Source organism: Homo sapiens, chromosome 2, assembly GCF_000001405.40.
Source record: "Homo sapiens chromosome 2, GRCh38.p14 Primary Assembly".
Lineage (NCBI taxonomy): Eukaryota > Metazoa > Chordata > Mammalia > Primates > Hominidae > Homo > Homo sapiens.
In genome coordinates, this window is record NC_000002.12 from 65,166,971 (window position 1) to 65,183,226 (window position 16,256).

Genomic DNA, 16,256 nt, shown 5'->3' on the forward strand with positions numbered 1-16,256 from the left:
CCAAGTAGCTGGGATTACAGGCATGTGCCACCATGCCCGGCTAATTTTTGTATTTTTAGTAGAGACAGGGTTTCATCATGTTGACAAGGCTGGTTGTGAACTTCTGACTTCACGTGATTCACCCACCTCGGCCTCCCAAAGTGCTGGGATTACAGGCATGAGCCACCACACCCAGCCCCAGCCTAATATATATTTTGGCGGGGCGGGGTGGTGGGGGGTCAGAGTTTTGCTCTTGTTGCTCACGCTGGAGTGCAAAGGTACAATCTCGGCTCACTGCAACCTCCGCCTCCTGGGTTCAAGCAATTCTCCTGACCCGGCCTCCCGAGTAGCTGGGATTACAGGCATGTGCCACCAAACCCAGCTAATTTTGTATTTTTAGTAGAGACGGGGTTTCTCCATGTTGGTCAGGCTGCTTTCGAACTCCTGACCTCAGGTGATCTGCCCGCCTAAGCCTCCCCCAAAGTGCTGGGATTACAGGCATGAGCCAACGCACCCAGCGATATATTTTAATAAAATAAATTAAGCATTGTAATTAAAGTTGAAGCCTCCTTTGACTTTCAATCCCAATCCCATTACTCTCTCCTTAACCCTGCAACCACTCATAAATTGCGTATTTTTATACCTTCACATGAATATACTTATATCCATGAATTCATTGCATTTTTCCTGACCCCCAGTGAGACTGAGGACTTTCTCCTGTTTCCTCTTCTATGAATTTCCTTTTCATATTATTGGCCTATTTTTCCTTTGGATTTTTCCTTGCTTATTAATTTTAGGAGAGATTTTATTTTATCTTATTTTTTTTTGAGATGGAGTCTTGCTCTGTCACCCTGGATGGAGTACAGTGGCGTAATCTTGGCTCACTGCAACTTCTGCCTCCCGGATTCAAGCAGCTCTCCTGCCTTAGCCTCCCTAGTAGCTAGGATTACAGGCATGCATCACCATGCCCGGCTAATTTTTGTATTTTTAGTAGAGACGGGGTTTCTCCATGTTGGTCAGGCTGCTCTCGAACCCCTGACCTCAGATGATCTGCCCGCCTCGGCCTCCCAAAGTGCTGGGATTATAGGCGTGAGCCACTGCACCCAGCCTACAGATGATTTTTATATGTATTTTTATTTTTAAAACACATATAATTGTAAAAATTTAAATTTAAATTAAAAATTGTTTTAAATACAGATAAAAATAACTTTAAATTATTTTTTGTTGAGATGGGGTGGGGAGGTTCTTGCTTTGTTGCCCAGTCGAGTCTTGAACTCCTGGCTTCAAGCAATCCTCCCACTGCAGCCTTTCAAGCAGCTAGGACTGTATAGGTGTGTGTAGATGAGGATCTTTAATCTGTGACTTTTTTCCTCAACGTTACTTGAAAAACGTGACAGTCCTTGAAAATATTCTAGTTACTTTGCAAGGCCTAGGGATGAATATTAAGAATAGGTGCAAATAATTGCTTAAATTTAAATACCAGAGAGAGCCATTTGGGGTGTTCGGTATTTACCAACGCAAAGCTGTCTTTGCAGCTGGGTGCGGTGGCTCACGCCTGTAATCCCAGCACTTTGGGAGGCCGAGGCGGGCGGATCACGAGGTCAGGAGATCGAGACCATCCTGGCTAACACGGTGAAACCCCGTCTCTACTAAAAATACAAAAAATTAGCCGGGCGTGGTGGCGGGCGCCTGTAGTCCCAGCTACTCGGGAGGCTGAGGCAGGAGAATGGCGTGAACCCGGGAGGCGGAGCTTGCAGTGAGCAGAAATCGTGCCACTGCACTCCAGCCTGGGCGACAGAGCAAGATTCCATCTCAAAAAAACAAAAACAAAAACAAAGCAAAGCTCTCTTTGCTTTGTTCTCATAAGACCTACCTTCAAGAGCAATGTACTTTTTGACAATGGCGAGGAGATAGAGGAAATGAGGTCACTAAATTAAAAAATTGGCCAGGTGCTGTGGCTCATGCCTGTAATCCCAGCACTTTGGGAGGCCGAGGAGGGCGAATCACCTGAGGTCAGGAGTTCCAGACCAGCTTGGCCAACAGGGTGAAACCCCGTCTCTACTAAAAATACAAAAATTAGCCAGGCGTGGTGGTACATGTCTGTAGTCCTTGCTACTCGGGAGGCTGAGGCAGGAAAATCACTTGAACCCGGGAGGCGGAGATTGCAGTGAGCTGAGAAAGTGCCATTGCACTCCAGCCTGGGCGACAGAGTGAGACTCTGTCTCAAAGAAATAAAGAAAGAAACAAAAAAGTTGCCATAGCTCCCACTACTCACACTGCTACAATATACAGTATCTGATTTCAGACTTTTCCAACAGAGACCAAAATACACCATCATCCTTAACTGAAATAATTATTTTGAGTTAAGCTTGAATTTCTGAGAGTTTGCACCTAATATATGAAGCGGTGGAGAGCTGTTCAAAGTCTTTGAGGAAGTCTCACTTTAACTTCAGCTAGCTTAATCTGGCAGCCACAGGTGGGATATAAACAGATCTCAGACTTAATCAAAATGTTCGTTTGCTGTTTCTGCACGCCCCCTTCTGGCTGAGTAAGCGCTCATCGCTAAATGATGTCATTTTATTTCTTATTTATTTTAAATTTAATTAATTAATTAATTAATTAATTTATGAGACGGAGTCTCGCTCTTTTGCCCAGGCTGGAGTGCAGTGGCATGATCTTGGCTCACTGCAACCTCCACCTCCTGGATTCAAGCCATTCTGTCACAGCCTCCCAAGTAGCTGGGATGACAGGTCCACGCCACCATGCCCCGCTAATTTTTGTATTCTTAGTAGAGACTGTGTTTCACCATGTTGGCCAGGTGGGTCTCGAACTCCTGACCTCAGGTGATCTGCCCACCTTGGCATCCCAAAGTGCTAGGATTACAGGAGTGAGCCACCACGCCCGGCCAACAAATGAGCCATTTTATTAACTGTAGTGGCTGACAAAGACAGACATTGATGCAGAAATTGCTGTTGCCATGGGAAGGAAAAGTTTATTGTGAAAAAAAAAAGTCTCTTTCTCTAGTGATAAGTGAAAAAAAAAAAAAAAGAAAGAAGAAAAAGAAAGATAAAGGCTGGGCGCTGAGGCTCATGCCTGTAATCCCAGCACTCTGGGAGGCCAAGGCAGTTGGACCACCTGAGTTCAGGAGTTCAAGACCAGCCTGGACAATATGGTGAAACCCTGTCTCTACTAAAAATACAAAAATTAGCCGGGTGTGGTAGTGGGTGCCTGTAATCCCAGCTGCTTGGGAGGCTGAGGCAGGAGAATCACTTGAACCTGGGAGATGGAGGTTGCAGTGAGCCGAGACGCACCAGTGCACTCCAGCCTGGGTGACAGAGCAAGACTCCGTCTCAAAAAAAAAAAAAAAAAAGAGTGTGGAAGTGCTTAACACAGAAAGATAAAATGTGAACTTTCATTAGATTATTTGTCGACATTTGGTGGTAGATAAACCAACAGCTCTTTCCAACTCCCCTGAAATTTTCCCACGGCTTAATTGACAGGGGAATGGGATGTTTTGGTTGGACATTTCTATACAGTCACTTAAAAATCCTCTCCGAAGGTGTTTCTTCCCTTCAAAATCAGAGAAAAGACACATTTAGTGATGAGAATCAAGAGCTAGACAGGGGACACTTGGTGTTTGGAATTCTTCACCAAATCATTTCACTTCCTTTGTTTCCTCAGGGAGGAAGGCAACCACAGCCTCTGCATTTGCTCCCTGACTTGGTTTACAAGGTTAGTCAAATACCCTGTACCACAGAGTGGCTGGGTTAATGATTTATCTAAATGAGGTAAAAGCCATATCTATTGCAACGCTGCGTTTCAGTCTATTTTCCCAAACTGGTTAGCTATTGCACACTAATGATGTAGCTTAATGCTGTGTCACTAGGCTGTTCTAGAACATTTGTGTATATTATGTTCACAGTGCTGAAAGAAGCAACTTTCCTTTTTAATAGTTACAGTCTTTCTGAAAGCCCTGGAAGAAAAAAAAAAGTGACCCTAAGAAACAAGATAGCATTCAGGTAATGTTTAAATCAGACTGTATCTCAGATCAAAGGGCACTTCTTTTTTTTTTAATTGAGATAGAGTTTCCCTCTTGTTGCCCAGGCTGGAGTGCAATGGCACAATCTCAGCTCACTGCAACCTCTGTCTCGCAGGTTCAAGCAATTCTCCTGCCTCAACCTCCCGAGTAGCTGGGATTACAGGCATGCGCCACCCCACCTGGGTAATTTTTTTTTGAGATGGAGTCTCCCTCTTGTTGCTCAGGCTGGAGTGCAATAGTGCAATCTCGGCTCACCGCAACCTCCGCCTCCCAGGTTCAAGCGGTTCTCCTGCCTCAGCCTCCAGAGTAGCTGGGATTACAGGCATGCACCACCCAGCCCGGCTAATTTTTGTATTTTTACTAGAGACGGGGTTTCTCCATGTTGGTGAGGCTGATCTCAAACTCCTGACCTCAGGTGATCTGCCTGCCTCGGCCTCCCCAAGTGCTGGGATTACAGGCATGAGCCACCGCACCCGGCCCAAATTTTGTTTTTTCAGTAGAGACAGGATTTCTCCATGTTGGTCAGGCTGGTCTCAAACTCCCGACCTCAGGTGATCCGCCCACCTCAGCCCCCCAAAGTGCTGGGATTATAGGTGTGAGCCACCACTCTGGGCCAGAATACTATGTTTTGATATCTGGATTCTCAACTTTAAGTTTGTGAAGTTCACCTATGTTGTTTTATGCAGCTGTAGTTCATTCATTCTCATTGATACATTAGCATTCCATCATGTGTATATACCACAATTTATTCATTCTACCATTGAGGGACATCTGGGCAGCTTCCAGCTTTGGTTATTATGGATACTGCTCTTAATATTCTTAAATGCATGTTTTAGGCTGGGCGTGGTGGCTCACGCCTGTAATCCCAGCACTTTGGGAGGCCGAGGCGGGTGGATCACCTGAAGTCAGGAGTTAGAGACCAGGTTGGCCAATATGGCGAAACCCTGTTTCTACTAAAAATACAAAAATTAGCCAGGGGTGGTGGCGGGCACCTGTAATCCTAGCTACTTGGGAGGCTGAGGCAGAATTGCTTGAACCCAGGAGGCGGAGGTTGCAATTAGCCAAGATCGTGCCATTGTGCTCCAGCTTGGGCAACAAGAGGGAAACGCCGTCTCAAAAAAAAAAAAGTGTCCTTTGATAACCATATATACTCATTTCTATTGGGTATGTACACCTGTGTAATATAAATAAAATTACATATACATACACACACACGTGTGTGTGTATGTGTGTGTGTGTGTGTGTGTGTATAGTGTTACTAGATGTGTCCAACCATATATATGAGCATTCTATTTCTAAATTTTTTAAAATTATTATTTAGAGACAGGTCTTGCTCTGTTGCCCAGGCTGGAGGGCAGTGGCACGATCATAGTTCAATGCAGACTTGATCTCTCCTGGGCTCAAGCAATCTTCCTGCATCAGCCTCCCGAGTAGCTGAGACTGCAGACATGCACCACCACACCTGGCTTATTTTTATTTTTTATTTTTCTTGCTATGTTACCCAGGCTGTTCTGGAACTTCTGGCCTCAAACAATCCTCCCATCTCAGCCTCCCAAAGTGCTGGGATTACAGATGTGAACCATCACAACCACCTCATGTGAGCATACTTGTTGCTGTATATCTTTGCCAGTACTTGTTACAGTCAGCTCTCCATATCCATGGGTTCCACATACGTGGATTCATCCAACCAAGGACTGAAAATATTTGCAGGAAAAAAACACAATAAAAAACAACAATAAACAGCAAAATTTTTTTAAAAAGTATCACAACTATTTACATAGCACTTACATTACATTAGGTATTATAAGTAATCTAGAGTGATTTAAAGTATACAGGAGGATGTCATAGGTTATATGCAAATACTACACCACTTTACATCAGGGACATGAGCATCTGCAGATTTTGGTATCCAAGGGAGATCCTGGAACCAATCCTCCATGGATACCAAGGGGCAACTGTATTTTGTGTCTCTTTTATTTTAGCCATTCTGCTGGGTATGAAGTGGTATTGCATTGTAGTTTTAAGAAAGACTTTTATTGAGTATACTATACATACATAAAAGTGCACATATCATAAGTATACAGCTTGATGAATTGTTATGAACTGAACACAACTACGTCATCAGCACCGAGATCCAGAAACAGTACAGTATCACTATTCCCAAATTTCCTTGTGTTCCCTTTTAATCACTACCCTCCCTCCCACAGAGATAACCTCTATGCTGACTTCAAACTAATAGATTAGTTTTGGCTGGTCTTTGTACTTTATGTAAATAAAATCATAAAGAAAGCACTTTTGTATGTCTGATTGTATGAGTGTTCTTTCTGTTTGTTCTACCTCCTCACCATACTTGGTATTTTCCATCTTTTTTTTTTTTTTTTTTTTTTTTTTTTGATCCAGAGTCTCACTCTGTTGCCCAGGCTGGAGTGCAGTGGCATGATCTCAGTGAGCTGCAACCTCTGCCTCCCCGGTCCAAACGATTCTCTCACCTCAGCCTCCCAAGTAGCTGGGATTACAGGCGCCCGCCATCACGCCCGGCTAATTTTTGTATTTTTAGTAGAGACAGGGTTTCGCAATGTCAGCCAGGCTGGTCTCGAACTCTTAACCTTGTGATCTGCCTCCTCAGCCTCCCAAAGCACTGGGATTACAGGCGTGAGCCACCACATCCGGCTGAATTCTAACATTTTTAACAGCATGAAGGTAGCTCTGGATGCTAGGGTGAGTTGCTGAAGTAAATTTTATTTGGTAATTGGTATAACTTCTCCCTCAAATTAAAGTTTTTATTTCTCCAGAAAGTATACATTTTACAAAATTGGGATAAATTTTGTAAATTATTATGTCCTTCTTCATGCTGCCCATATGCTATGTCAGTGACTATTGATAATTTTTCCAATAAGAGGTTCAAAGAGAGAAGAAAATTTTAGATTATATTATTAAATTAATATATCTATTAATTATATTATTAAATTATTTTTATTTATTTATTTATTTGAGACAGAGTCTCGGTCTGTTGCCCAGGCTTGAGTACAGTGGGGCAATCTCGGCTCACCGCAACCTCCGCATCCCAGGTTCAAGTGATTCTCCTGCCTCAGCCTCCCAAGTACCTGGGGTTACAGATGTGCACCACCATGCCCAGCTAATTTTGTATTTTTAGTAGAGACAGAGTTTCACCATGTTGGTCAGGCTGGTCAAGAACTCCTGACCTCAGGTGATTCACCCGCCTTGGCCCCTCAAAGTGCTGGGATTACAGGCATGACTCACTGCTCCTGGCCTAAAATTATTTTTAAACTCTTTAGGTAAATGAGAAGAATTTCTGTTGATTGTTACTGCTACATTATTTGCTGTTCAAGGACTATTTTTAGATGTATGAATATTAACAGCATTTTTTTTTTTTTTTTGAGACAGAGTTTCACTCTTGTTGCCCAGGCTGGAGTGCAATGGCGCGATCTCCGCTCACTGCAACCTCCATCCCCTGGGTTCAAGCAATTCTCCAGCCTCAGCCTCCCAAGTAGGTGGGATTACAGGTGGCCGTCACCATGCTGGGCTAATTTTTTGTACTTTTAGTAGAGATGGGGTTTCACCATGTTGGCCAGGCTGGTCTTGAGCTCTAGACCTCAGGTGATCCACCCGCCTCAGCCTCCCAAAGTGTTGGAATTACAGGCGTGAGCCACTGCGCCCAGCCTTAACAGCATTTTTAAAGGAGTTTAGATAAACATTTTGAAATAGATTAGGAACTACTGCATAATATCATATCCCGTAAAAAATGTGCATGATACAATTCTTTTAGAAACAATGAGACTATATATAGCAAACACTGAATGAAGCTCATACTATTTTATTGTAATTTGACTTCTAAACATTTATCCTAAAGACAATATTTAAAGTAAAGTAAAAAAAAAGCAACAGTATAGTTTTTCCTTACAGCACTGACTATGATATATTTTAAAAAGTGGAAAACAAACTAAGTATCTGACATTAGAATAGCTTAGTAAACTATGGTACATCAACAAAGTAAAATATGAGGAATTAAAATGATAATTAGGGCTGGGCCTAGTGGCTAACACCTATGATCCCAGCACTTCGGGAGGCTGAGGCAGGAGGATCATTTGAGCCCAGAAGTTTTAGGCTGCAGTGAGCTATGATCACGCACTCCAGCCTGCGTGACAGAGTGAGCCTCTCTCTCTAAATACATACACACACACACACACACACACACACACACAATGCTTTGTATTTAAATTGGATAGAATGTATTACTAATAATAGTTATAGCTTTAATGAGTTCGTGCTGGGGACCATAAACTTGTTATCCAATTTCTAACTTAATCCTCCACAATAGCAATGGGGTAGGATTATTATCTCCATTTTCTAAATAAAGAAACTGAGGCTTAAAGAGGCTAATCATATAAGTTCTCACAGCAAATAAATGGCTCAGATGAAAATTTCTTTTTTTTTTTTGAGATGGAGTTTTGCTCTTGTTGCCCAGACTGGAGTGCAATGGCGCAATCTCGGCTCACTGCAACCTCCACCTCCTGGGTTCAAGTGATTCTCCTGCCTCAGCCTCCCGAGTAGCTGGGATCACAGGCATGTGCCACCACACCCGGCTAATTTTGCATTTTTAGTAGAAATGTGGTTTCTCCATGTTGGTCAGGCTGGTCTCGAACTCCCGACCTCAGGTGATCCGTGCGTCTCGGCCTCCCAAAGTGCTGGGATTACAGGCGTGAGCCACCGCGCCCGGCTCAGATGAAAATTTCTGGAGATGCTCTTTGAAAAAGGAGTCTATAGTCAGATACATTTCAGAATGACTTCATTCTAAATTTCATCTCTGGGAGAATCACCATGTATATTAGTGTCACAGGTTCCTTAAGGTGTTGCTTTACCAGCCAGAAACCTCTGTGGTCAGCAGCACCTTCTGCCTGAGTATTGCTTGCACCCACTGGGCTCGTTCTGCCCACTCTGTCCGGCAGGCTGTACTCAGCTCACGCTACCAGCCAGGATCCCATACCTGCTAAACGCAAACCAGGCGCAGAGCTGCGAGGATTGTGTAGGTGAGCAAGCGCGGGGTCCACCCACTGTGCACAGCCAGGCGTGCTGGCTGCTGCAGCAGGGCAAGCAGCTCCAGGTGCCAGCACAGGCCCCGTGCAAGGCTGTGACTGAACCAGATATACTGCACGCAGCTTCTGCTGCAGGCACCCGTACCTGGACAAGGGGAATGCAGTGGCACCTGGAAGCCTGGAGGCAGCAGGAACCGTAGAACCCCAAAGAGGGGGTCGCAGTCCTGGCTCGGGGCGCCCCTAGGTCTGGGCTCCCCAGAAGGCTGCAGCTCTTCTTCTCGTTGCGCAATGTGGCGAGTGTGTGTGTGTGTGTGTGTGTGTGTGTGTGTGTCAGGGGATTCATGTTTCAGCCCTGTTTCTATTACAGGTTTTTTTTGTTTTGAGATGGAGTCTCACTCTGTCACCCAGATAGAGTGCAGTGGCGCAATCTCAGCTCACTGCAACCTCCGCCTCCTGGGTTCAAGCGATTCTCGTGCCTCACCCTCCCAATTAGCTGAGATTACAGGCGCACGCCACCATGCCTGACTAATTTTTGTATTTTTAGTGGAAACAGGGTCTCACCATGTTGGCCAGGCTGGTCTTGAACTCCTGACCTCAAGTGATCCACCCATGTAGGCCTTCCAAAGTGCTGGGATTACAGGAGTGAGTCTCTGCACCCAGCCTGCTACAGCTCTTTTAGTCCTGCCATTCAGTGGGTCCTGAGTTCTTGTCCTGCATCCAGGAAGAACGAGGTATGCAGACAACTGCAGGGTGAGCAAGGTGGAGAGGAGCTTCATTGAGCAGCAGAACAGTTCTCAGGAGACCCAAATTGGGTAGCTCCTGGCCAGGCATGGTGGCTCATGCCTGTTATCCCAGCACTTTGGGAGGCTGAGATGGGAGGATCACTTGAGGCCAGGAATTCAAGACCAAAGTGGGTAGCTCCTTTCCACAGGCAAGTTGTCCTGTCAAGTGTCCAGCTCTCAGTGGAGAGGACACCCACAGTGGGTATCTCCTCTCTGCAGGCAGGTTGTCCAGCAGTCTGTCTGTGTCTGGCTGAGTCCGGGGTTTTTCTTTTTTTGGAGACAGAGTCTTGCTCTGTCGCCCAGGCTGGAGTGCAGTGGCGTGATCTTGGCTCACTGCAAGCTCCGCCTCCCAGGTCCACGCTATTCTCCTGCCTAAGCCTCCCGAGTAGCTGGGACTACAGGCGCCCACCACCACGCCCGGCTAATTTTTTGTATTTTTAGTAGAGACGGGGTTTCACCGTTTTAGCCAGGATGATCTCGATATCCTGACCTTGTGATCCACCCCCCTCGGCCTCCCAAAGTGCTAGGATTACAGGCATGAGCCACCACGCCTGGCCGAGTCTGGGGGTTTCTATGGGCTTCAGAGGGGAGGAAATGCATGCTGATTGGTCCATGGGTGCCCATGGGCAGGCCCCAAAAAAACCCATAAGTTCTCACTCCAGTCAACGGAACTGATAGCATGGCCACCAGGCTTCAGGCCATTCCTGGCTTGAAGGTGGGGCTTCACTGGTACCTGCCTTTTTCTGCCCAGGAGCCTGTCTGCCTCCTGCTGCCATCACTCTGCCATCCATGGTGCCCATGGCACCCAGGCTGTTCATGCCAAAGAGCACCTGCAGGCCCACATCAAGCTGCCTTCGGCCCCCACTCAGCCTCCCTCCCATGCTCATTAGGCGCCCACAGTCTGAAGGGGGCTGAGGCAGCAGGTGTGTCAGTGCTGTCCTGAGCATGTGCACACCTGGCTAGGTTGTGACAGCATCTGGGCTTGGCCTCACCTTTGCTCTGAAGTTGGAGCAGGCACCAGGAGTGGGGAGAGGCCAGGCAGTGGGAGCAGGCACACCCAAGACTGTGGGGGGCAGGGGGCCTTCCTGGTCGCTGAGAGTTCAGGGATACTGGATTCCACATCTGCGACTGGGCAGCTGCAGCTGTGCCCCGGAGGGCAGGGCTCCCACCCTTCCAACAAAAACGGGGCAGGGCTCCCATCTGTTCTTGGTTCCCTAGCTCCAAGCGGCGTGCAGCCCTGTCGGCACCTCCCTTGGTGTCATGGCAGCAGCCACTCCAGACAGGCTACCACTGCCATCATTATTATAGTTACTTAATGTTTTAAGAAGTCTGGCCATTAAGAATGCAGCTTGAGCTGGTTCAACCACAACTTTTCAAAGTGTATTTGCCCACGAAACCATTAATCTGTAGTGGTGAATGTGGTGGTGTCCTCTGTAACCCTGCAGTCCTACTTCCTACTCCCTATCCCTCTCCCTTATCCTGCTGAGCTCTTATCCTGCTCAGCTCATGGAGCACTGAAAAATTCTTGAGAGGGCCACTTCTGAAGAGCACACTCTGTATACCACCTTCTGAACTGCTAATGTGGATTTAAAACCAAGAAACAGGCTGGGCATGGTGGCTCATGCCTGTAACCCCAGCACTTTGGGAGGCAGAGGTCAAGGCAGGCAGATCACTTGAGGTCGGGAGTTCAAGATCAACCTGGCCAACATGGTGAAACCCCATCTCTACTAAAATGCAAAAACTAGCTGGGCTTGGTGGCTCATGCTACTGGGGTGGCTGAGGTGGGAGAATCGCTTGAACCCAGGAGGCAGAGGTTGCAGTGAGCCAAGATCACGCCACTGCACTCCGGCCTGGGTGACAGAGTGAGGCTCCATTTCAAAAAATAAAATAAAATAAAAAATAAAACCAACAAACAGAAATATAAGGCAACTGCTCTACAAACCTCAAGAGCTAAAATATACGAAGAACATGAGGAAGTCAAGCTCTCCTGCATTGTTTCAAACCCATATCTCTTGAATTCTCTTTTAATTTACAATGGTTCCTTCTTCCTATTTTTCATGCCATTTATTTGTCAAATAAACAAGATTTTGTGTGTGTAGACACAAGTTCATTTTTAAAAGTTTTTTATTATGAAAAAAGGTGGCTCACACCTGTAATCTCAGTGCTTTAGAAGGCCAAGGGGAGAGGATTGCTTGAGATCAGGAGTTCCAGACCAGAGTGTGGAGACAGTGAGACCCCCGTCTCTATAAAAGTTTTTTTTTAATTATCTGGGTGTGGTGATGCATGCCTATAGTCCCAGCTACTTGGGAAGCTGAGGTGGGAGGATTGCTTGAGCATAGAAGTCCAAGGCTGCAGTGAGCTATGATCATACCACTGTACTCCAGTCTGGGGATAGAGTGAGACCCTGTTTGTTAAAAAAAAAAAAAAAAAAAGAAAAAAAGGCTTTTTATCTGAAAAAGTCATACATAGACATAAATTGAGAGAATGATGTAATGTGTCCCCATTTACCCACAACCCAGCCTTTTTTTTTTTTTTTTTTTTTAGAGACAGGGTCTCACTCTATTGCTCAGACTGGAGTGCAGTGGCAAAATCACAGCTCATTGCAGCCTGGGCCCACACCCAGCTTTAACAATTATCAACTCATGGTCAATCTACTTTCATTTACATCCCCACCTGTTTCACTTTATCCATACATATTTTTGCATGTCTTGCTATAAGATAAATACCATTTTTTCTAAATATAACACCATATTTTTATCATACTTTAATATTATCTCCAAAATCAGGCACCCATTTTGCTCAATTCAAGAGATGCAGACAAAATCCACAGCTGTTCAGCAGGCTAATTGGTAAACTACACTTTTGTGTCAGAAGTGCTTGTCCCTACTTCTCTCCCAGAAAAAGTAGGAGTATGTTTGCTTCAGGCACCTTCCACCTGCTGAGAGCACCCTTGTTCAGTCTCAGCTTTGGTCTTTGTAATCAAACCGTTCGGCAGGGAAGACTAATGTTGGGGGTGGGAGGAGAGAGAGAGAGAGAGAGGACATTCAGGTAGTGTGGTCCTCCACCACCCTGGGATCCATTCCTAAATGTGTCAGCCTTCCCCATCTCTTACCCTCTTGCTTCTAGTTGTATTTTTGTTTGTTTGTTTGTTTGTTGTTGTTGTTTTGAGACGGAGTCCCACTCTGTCACCCAGGCTGGAGTGCAGTGGCACAATCTCAGCTCACTGCAACCTCCACCCCTAGGTTGAAGCGATTCTTTTGCCTCAGCCTCCAGAGTAGCTGGGATTACAGATGCACACCACCATGTCCAACTAATTTTTTTGTATTTTTAGTAGAGACCTGCCAGGCTGGTCTCAAACTCCTGTCCTCAGGTGATCTGCCCACGTTGGCCTCCCAAAGTGCCGGATTACAGGCATGAGCCACCATGCCCAGCCTACTCGTATGTTTTAAAGTGATTCAAGCATCTTTATTTGGTGTGTGAGCCATTCTGTACTATGATCTAGCCTAGGATAGCATGCCTGGGAGAATGCTTGAAAGTTACCATTGCATCAATTTAATTTCCCATATTCTAGATGAAAATCGAGGCAATCTGATTCCAAAGCCCATTATCTTAAGAACTATGTGATATGGTTTGGTTGTGTCTCCACCCAAATCTCATCTTGAATTCCTACTATTGTGGGAGGAACCCTGTAGGAGGTAATTGAATCATTGGGGCAGGTCTTTCCCGTGCTGTTCTCATGATAGTGAATAAGTCTCATGAGATCTGATGATTATATAAAAAACGGGAGTTTCCCTGAACAAGCTGTCTTCTCTTGTCTGCCACCACGTGAGACATGCCTTTCACCTTTTGCCATGATTGTGAGGGTTCTGCAGCCACGTGGAACTGTAAGTCCAATAAACCTCTTTTTTTGTATGTCTTTATCAGCAGCATGAAAACCAACTAATACAGCAAATTGGTGCCCGCAGAGTGGGGTGCTGCTGAAAAGATACCAAAAATGTGGAAGTGAGTTTGGAACTAGGTAGCAGGAAAAGGTGGGAACAGTTGAGAGGACTCAGAAGAGGACAGGAAAATGTGGGAAAGTTTGGAACTCCCTAGAGACTTGTTGAATGGCTTTGACCAAAATGCTGATAATGATATGAACAATGAAATTTGGGCTGAGGTGGTCTCACACAGAGATGAAGAACTTGTTGGGAACTGGAGTGATATGGTTTGGCTGTGTCCCTATTCATATCTCAACTTGAATTCTATCTCCCAGCATTCCCACGTGTTGTGGGACGGACCCAGGGCGAGGTAATTGAATCATGGGGGCCGGTCTTTCCTGTGCTATTCTTGTGATAGTGAACAAGTCTCACGAGATCTGATGGGTTTATCAGGGTTTCCACTTTTGCTTTATCTTAATTTTCTCTTGCTGCCATGACATAAGAAGTGCCTTTCACCTCCTGCCATGATTCTGAGGCCTCCCCAGCCACATGGAACTGGAAGTCCAATTCAACCTTTTTTTTTTTTTTCCAAGACGAAGTCTTGCTCTGTCGCCCAGGCTGGAGTGCTGTGGCACAATCTCGGCTCACTGCAACCTCTGCCTCCTGGGTTCAAGCAATTCTCCTGCCTCAGCCTCCTGAGTAGCTAGGACTATAGGCACGCATCACCATGCCTGGCTAATTTTTGTATTTTTAGTAGAGATGGGGTTTCACCATGTTGGCCAGGCTGATCTTGAACTCCTGACCTCGTGATCCACCCACCTCGGCCTCCCAAAGTGCTGGGATTACAGGCATGAGCCACCGTGCCAGGCCCCATTAAACCTTTTTTTGTTCCCAGTTTCGCATATGTCTTTTTCAGCAGTGTGAAAACAAACTAATACAATACTTTGGTGCCAGTAGAGTGGGGCATTGCTGAAAAGATACCCAAAAATGTGGAAGTGACTTTGGAATTGGATAAAAGGCAGAGGTTGGAACGGTTTGGAGGGCTCAGAAGAAGACAGGATAATGTGGGAAAGTTTGGAACCTCCTAGAGATTTATTTAATGGCTTTGACAAAAATGCTGATAATGATATGAACAATAAGGTCCAGGCTGAGGTGGTCTCAGATGGAGATGAGGAACTTGTTGGGAAGTGGAGCAAAGGTGACTCTTGTTGTGTTTTAGCAAAGAGACTGGCAGCATTTTGCCCCTGCCCTAGAGATTTGTGGAACTTTAAACTTGAGAGAGATGATTTAATGTATCTGGCGGAAGAAATTTCTAAGCAGCAAAGCATTCAAGAGGTGAAGTGGGTGCTGTTAAAGGCATTCCATTTTACAAGGTAACCAGAGCAAAGAAGTTTGGAAAATTTGCAGCCTGACAATGCAATAGAAAAGAGAATCCCAGCTGGGCGTGGTGGCTCACACCTGTAATCCCAGCATTTTGGGAGGCTAAAGTGAGTGGATCACCTGAAGTCGGGAGGACGAGACCAGCCTGACCAACATGGAGAAATCCCATCTCTACTAAAAATAAAAATTAGCCGGGCATGGTGACACATGCCTGTAATCCCAGTTACTCGGGATGCTGAGGCAGGAGAATCGCTTGAACCTGGGAGGCGGAGATTGCAGTGAGCCGAGATGGCACCATTGTACTCCAGCCTGGGCAACAAGAGTGAAATTCCGTCTCAAAAAAAAAAAAGAAAGGAAAAAGAGAATCCCATTTTCTGAAGAGAAATTCAAGCCTGCTGCAGAAATTTGCCTAAGTATTGAGGTGCCAAATGTTAATCATGAAGACAATGGAGAGAATGTCTCCAAGACCTGTCAGAGACCTTCGTGGCAGCCCCTCTCATCACAGGCCCAGAGGTTTAGGAAGAAAAGATGGTTTTGTGGGCCAGGCCCAGGGTCCCCATGCTGTGTGCAGCCTAGGGACTTGGTGCCCTGCGTCCCAGCCACTCCAGCTGTGACTAAAAGGGGCCAAGGTCCAGTTCAGGCTGTTGCTTCAGAGGGTGGAAGCCCCGAGCCTTGGCTGATTCCATGTGGTGTTGAGGCCGTGGGCACACAGAAGTCAAGAATTGAGGTTTGGGAAGCTCTGCCTAGATTTCAGAGGATGTAAGGAGAACAGCTGGATGCCCACACAGACATTTGCTTCATCATGTTGGGCGGGTCCTCATGGAGAACCTCTGCTAGGGCAGTGCAGAAGGGGAATGTGGGGTTGGAGCCCCCACACAGAGTCCCTACTGGGGCACTAACTAGTGCAGCTGTGAGAAGAGGGTCACCATCCTCCAGACCCCAGAATGGTAGATCTACTGACAGTTTGCACTGTGTGCAAGAGAAGGAAAGGGCACTTTCTATAAATCCAGGTAGGAAGATGAGTGTTAAGACCATACAAGTAGTCACAAGGAACTTGGGGAAAACAAGGCATTCTAAGTGAAGTGCTAGAATGAGATACAAC

The 16,256-nt window shown here is 45.9% G+C and overlaps 2 annotated features.

Annotated features, from left to right (window-relative positions):
• Positions 10,317–10,853: an enhancer, noted in NCBI's record as "H3K27ac-H3K4me1 hESC enhancer chr2:65404421-65404957 (GRCh37/hg19 assembly coordinates)". NCBI's record gives its function as "activates a minimal SCP1, AML or CMV promoter by ChIP-STARR-seq in primed H9 embryonic stem cells {active_cell/tissue: H9 hESC(primed)}" and the evidence as "EXISTENCE:reporter gene assay evidence [ECO:0000049][PMID:30033119]".
• Positions 11,231–11,431: a silencer, noted in NCBI's record as "peak3732 fragment used in MPRA reporter construct". NCBI's record gives its function as "represses an SCP1 promoter by STARR-seq MPRAs in K562 erythroleukemia cells {active_cell/tissue: K562}" and the evidence as "EXISTENCE:reporter gene assay evidence [ECO:0000049][PMID:32103011]".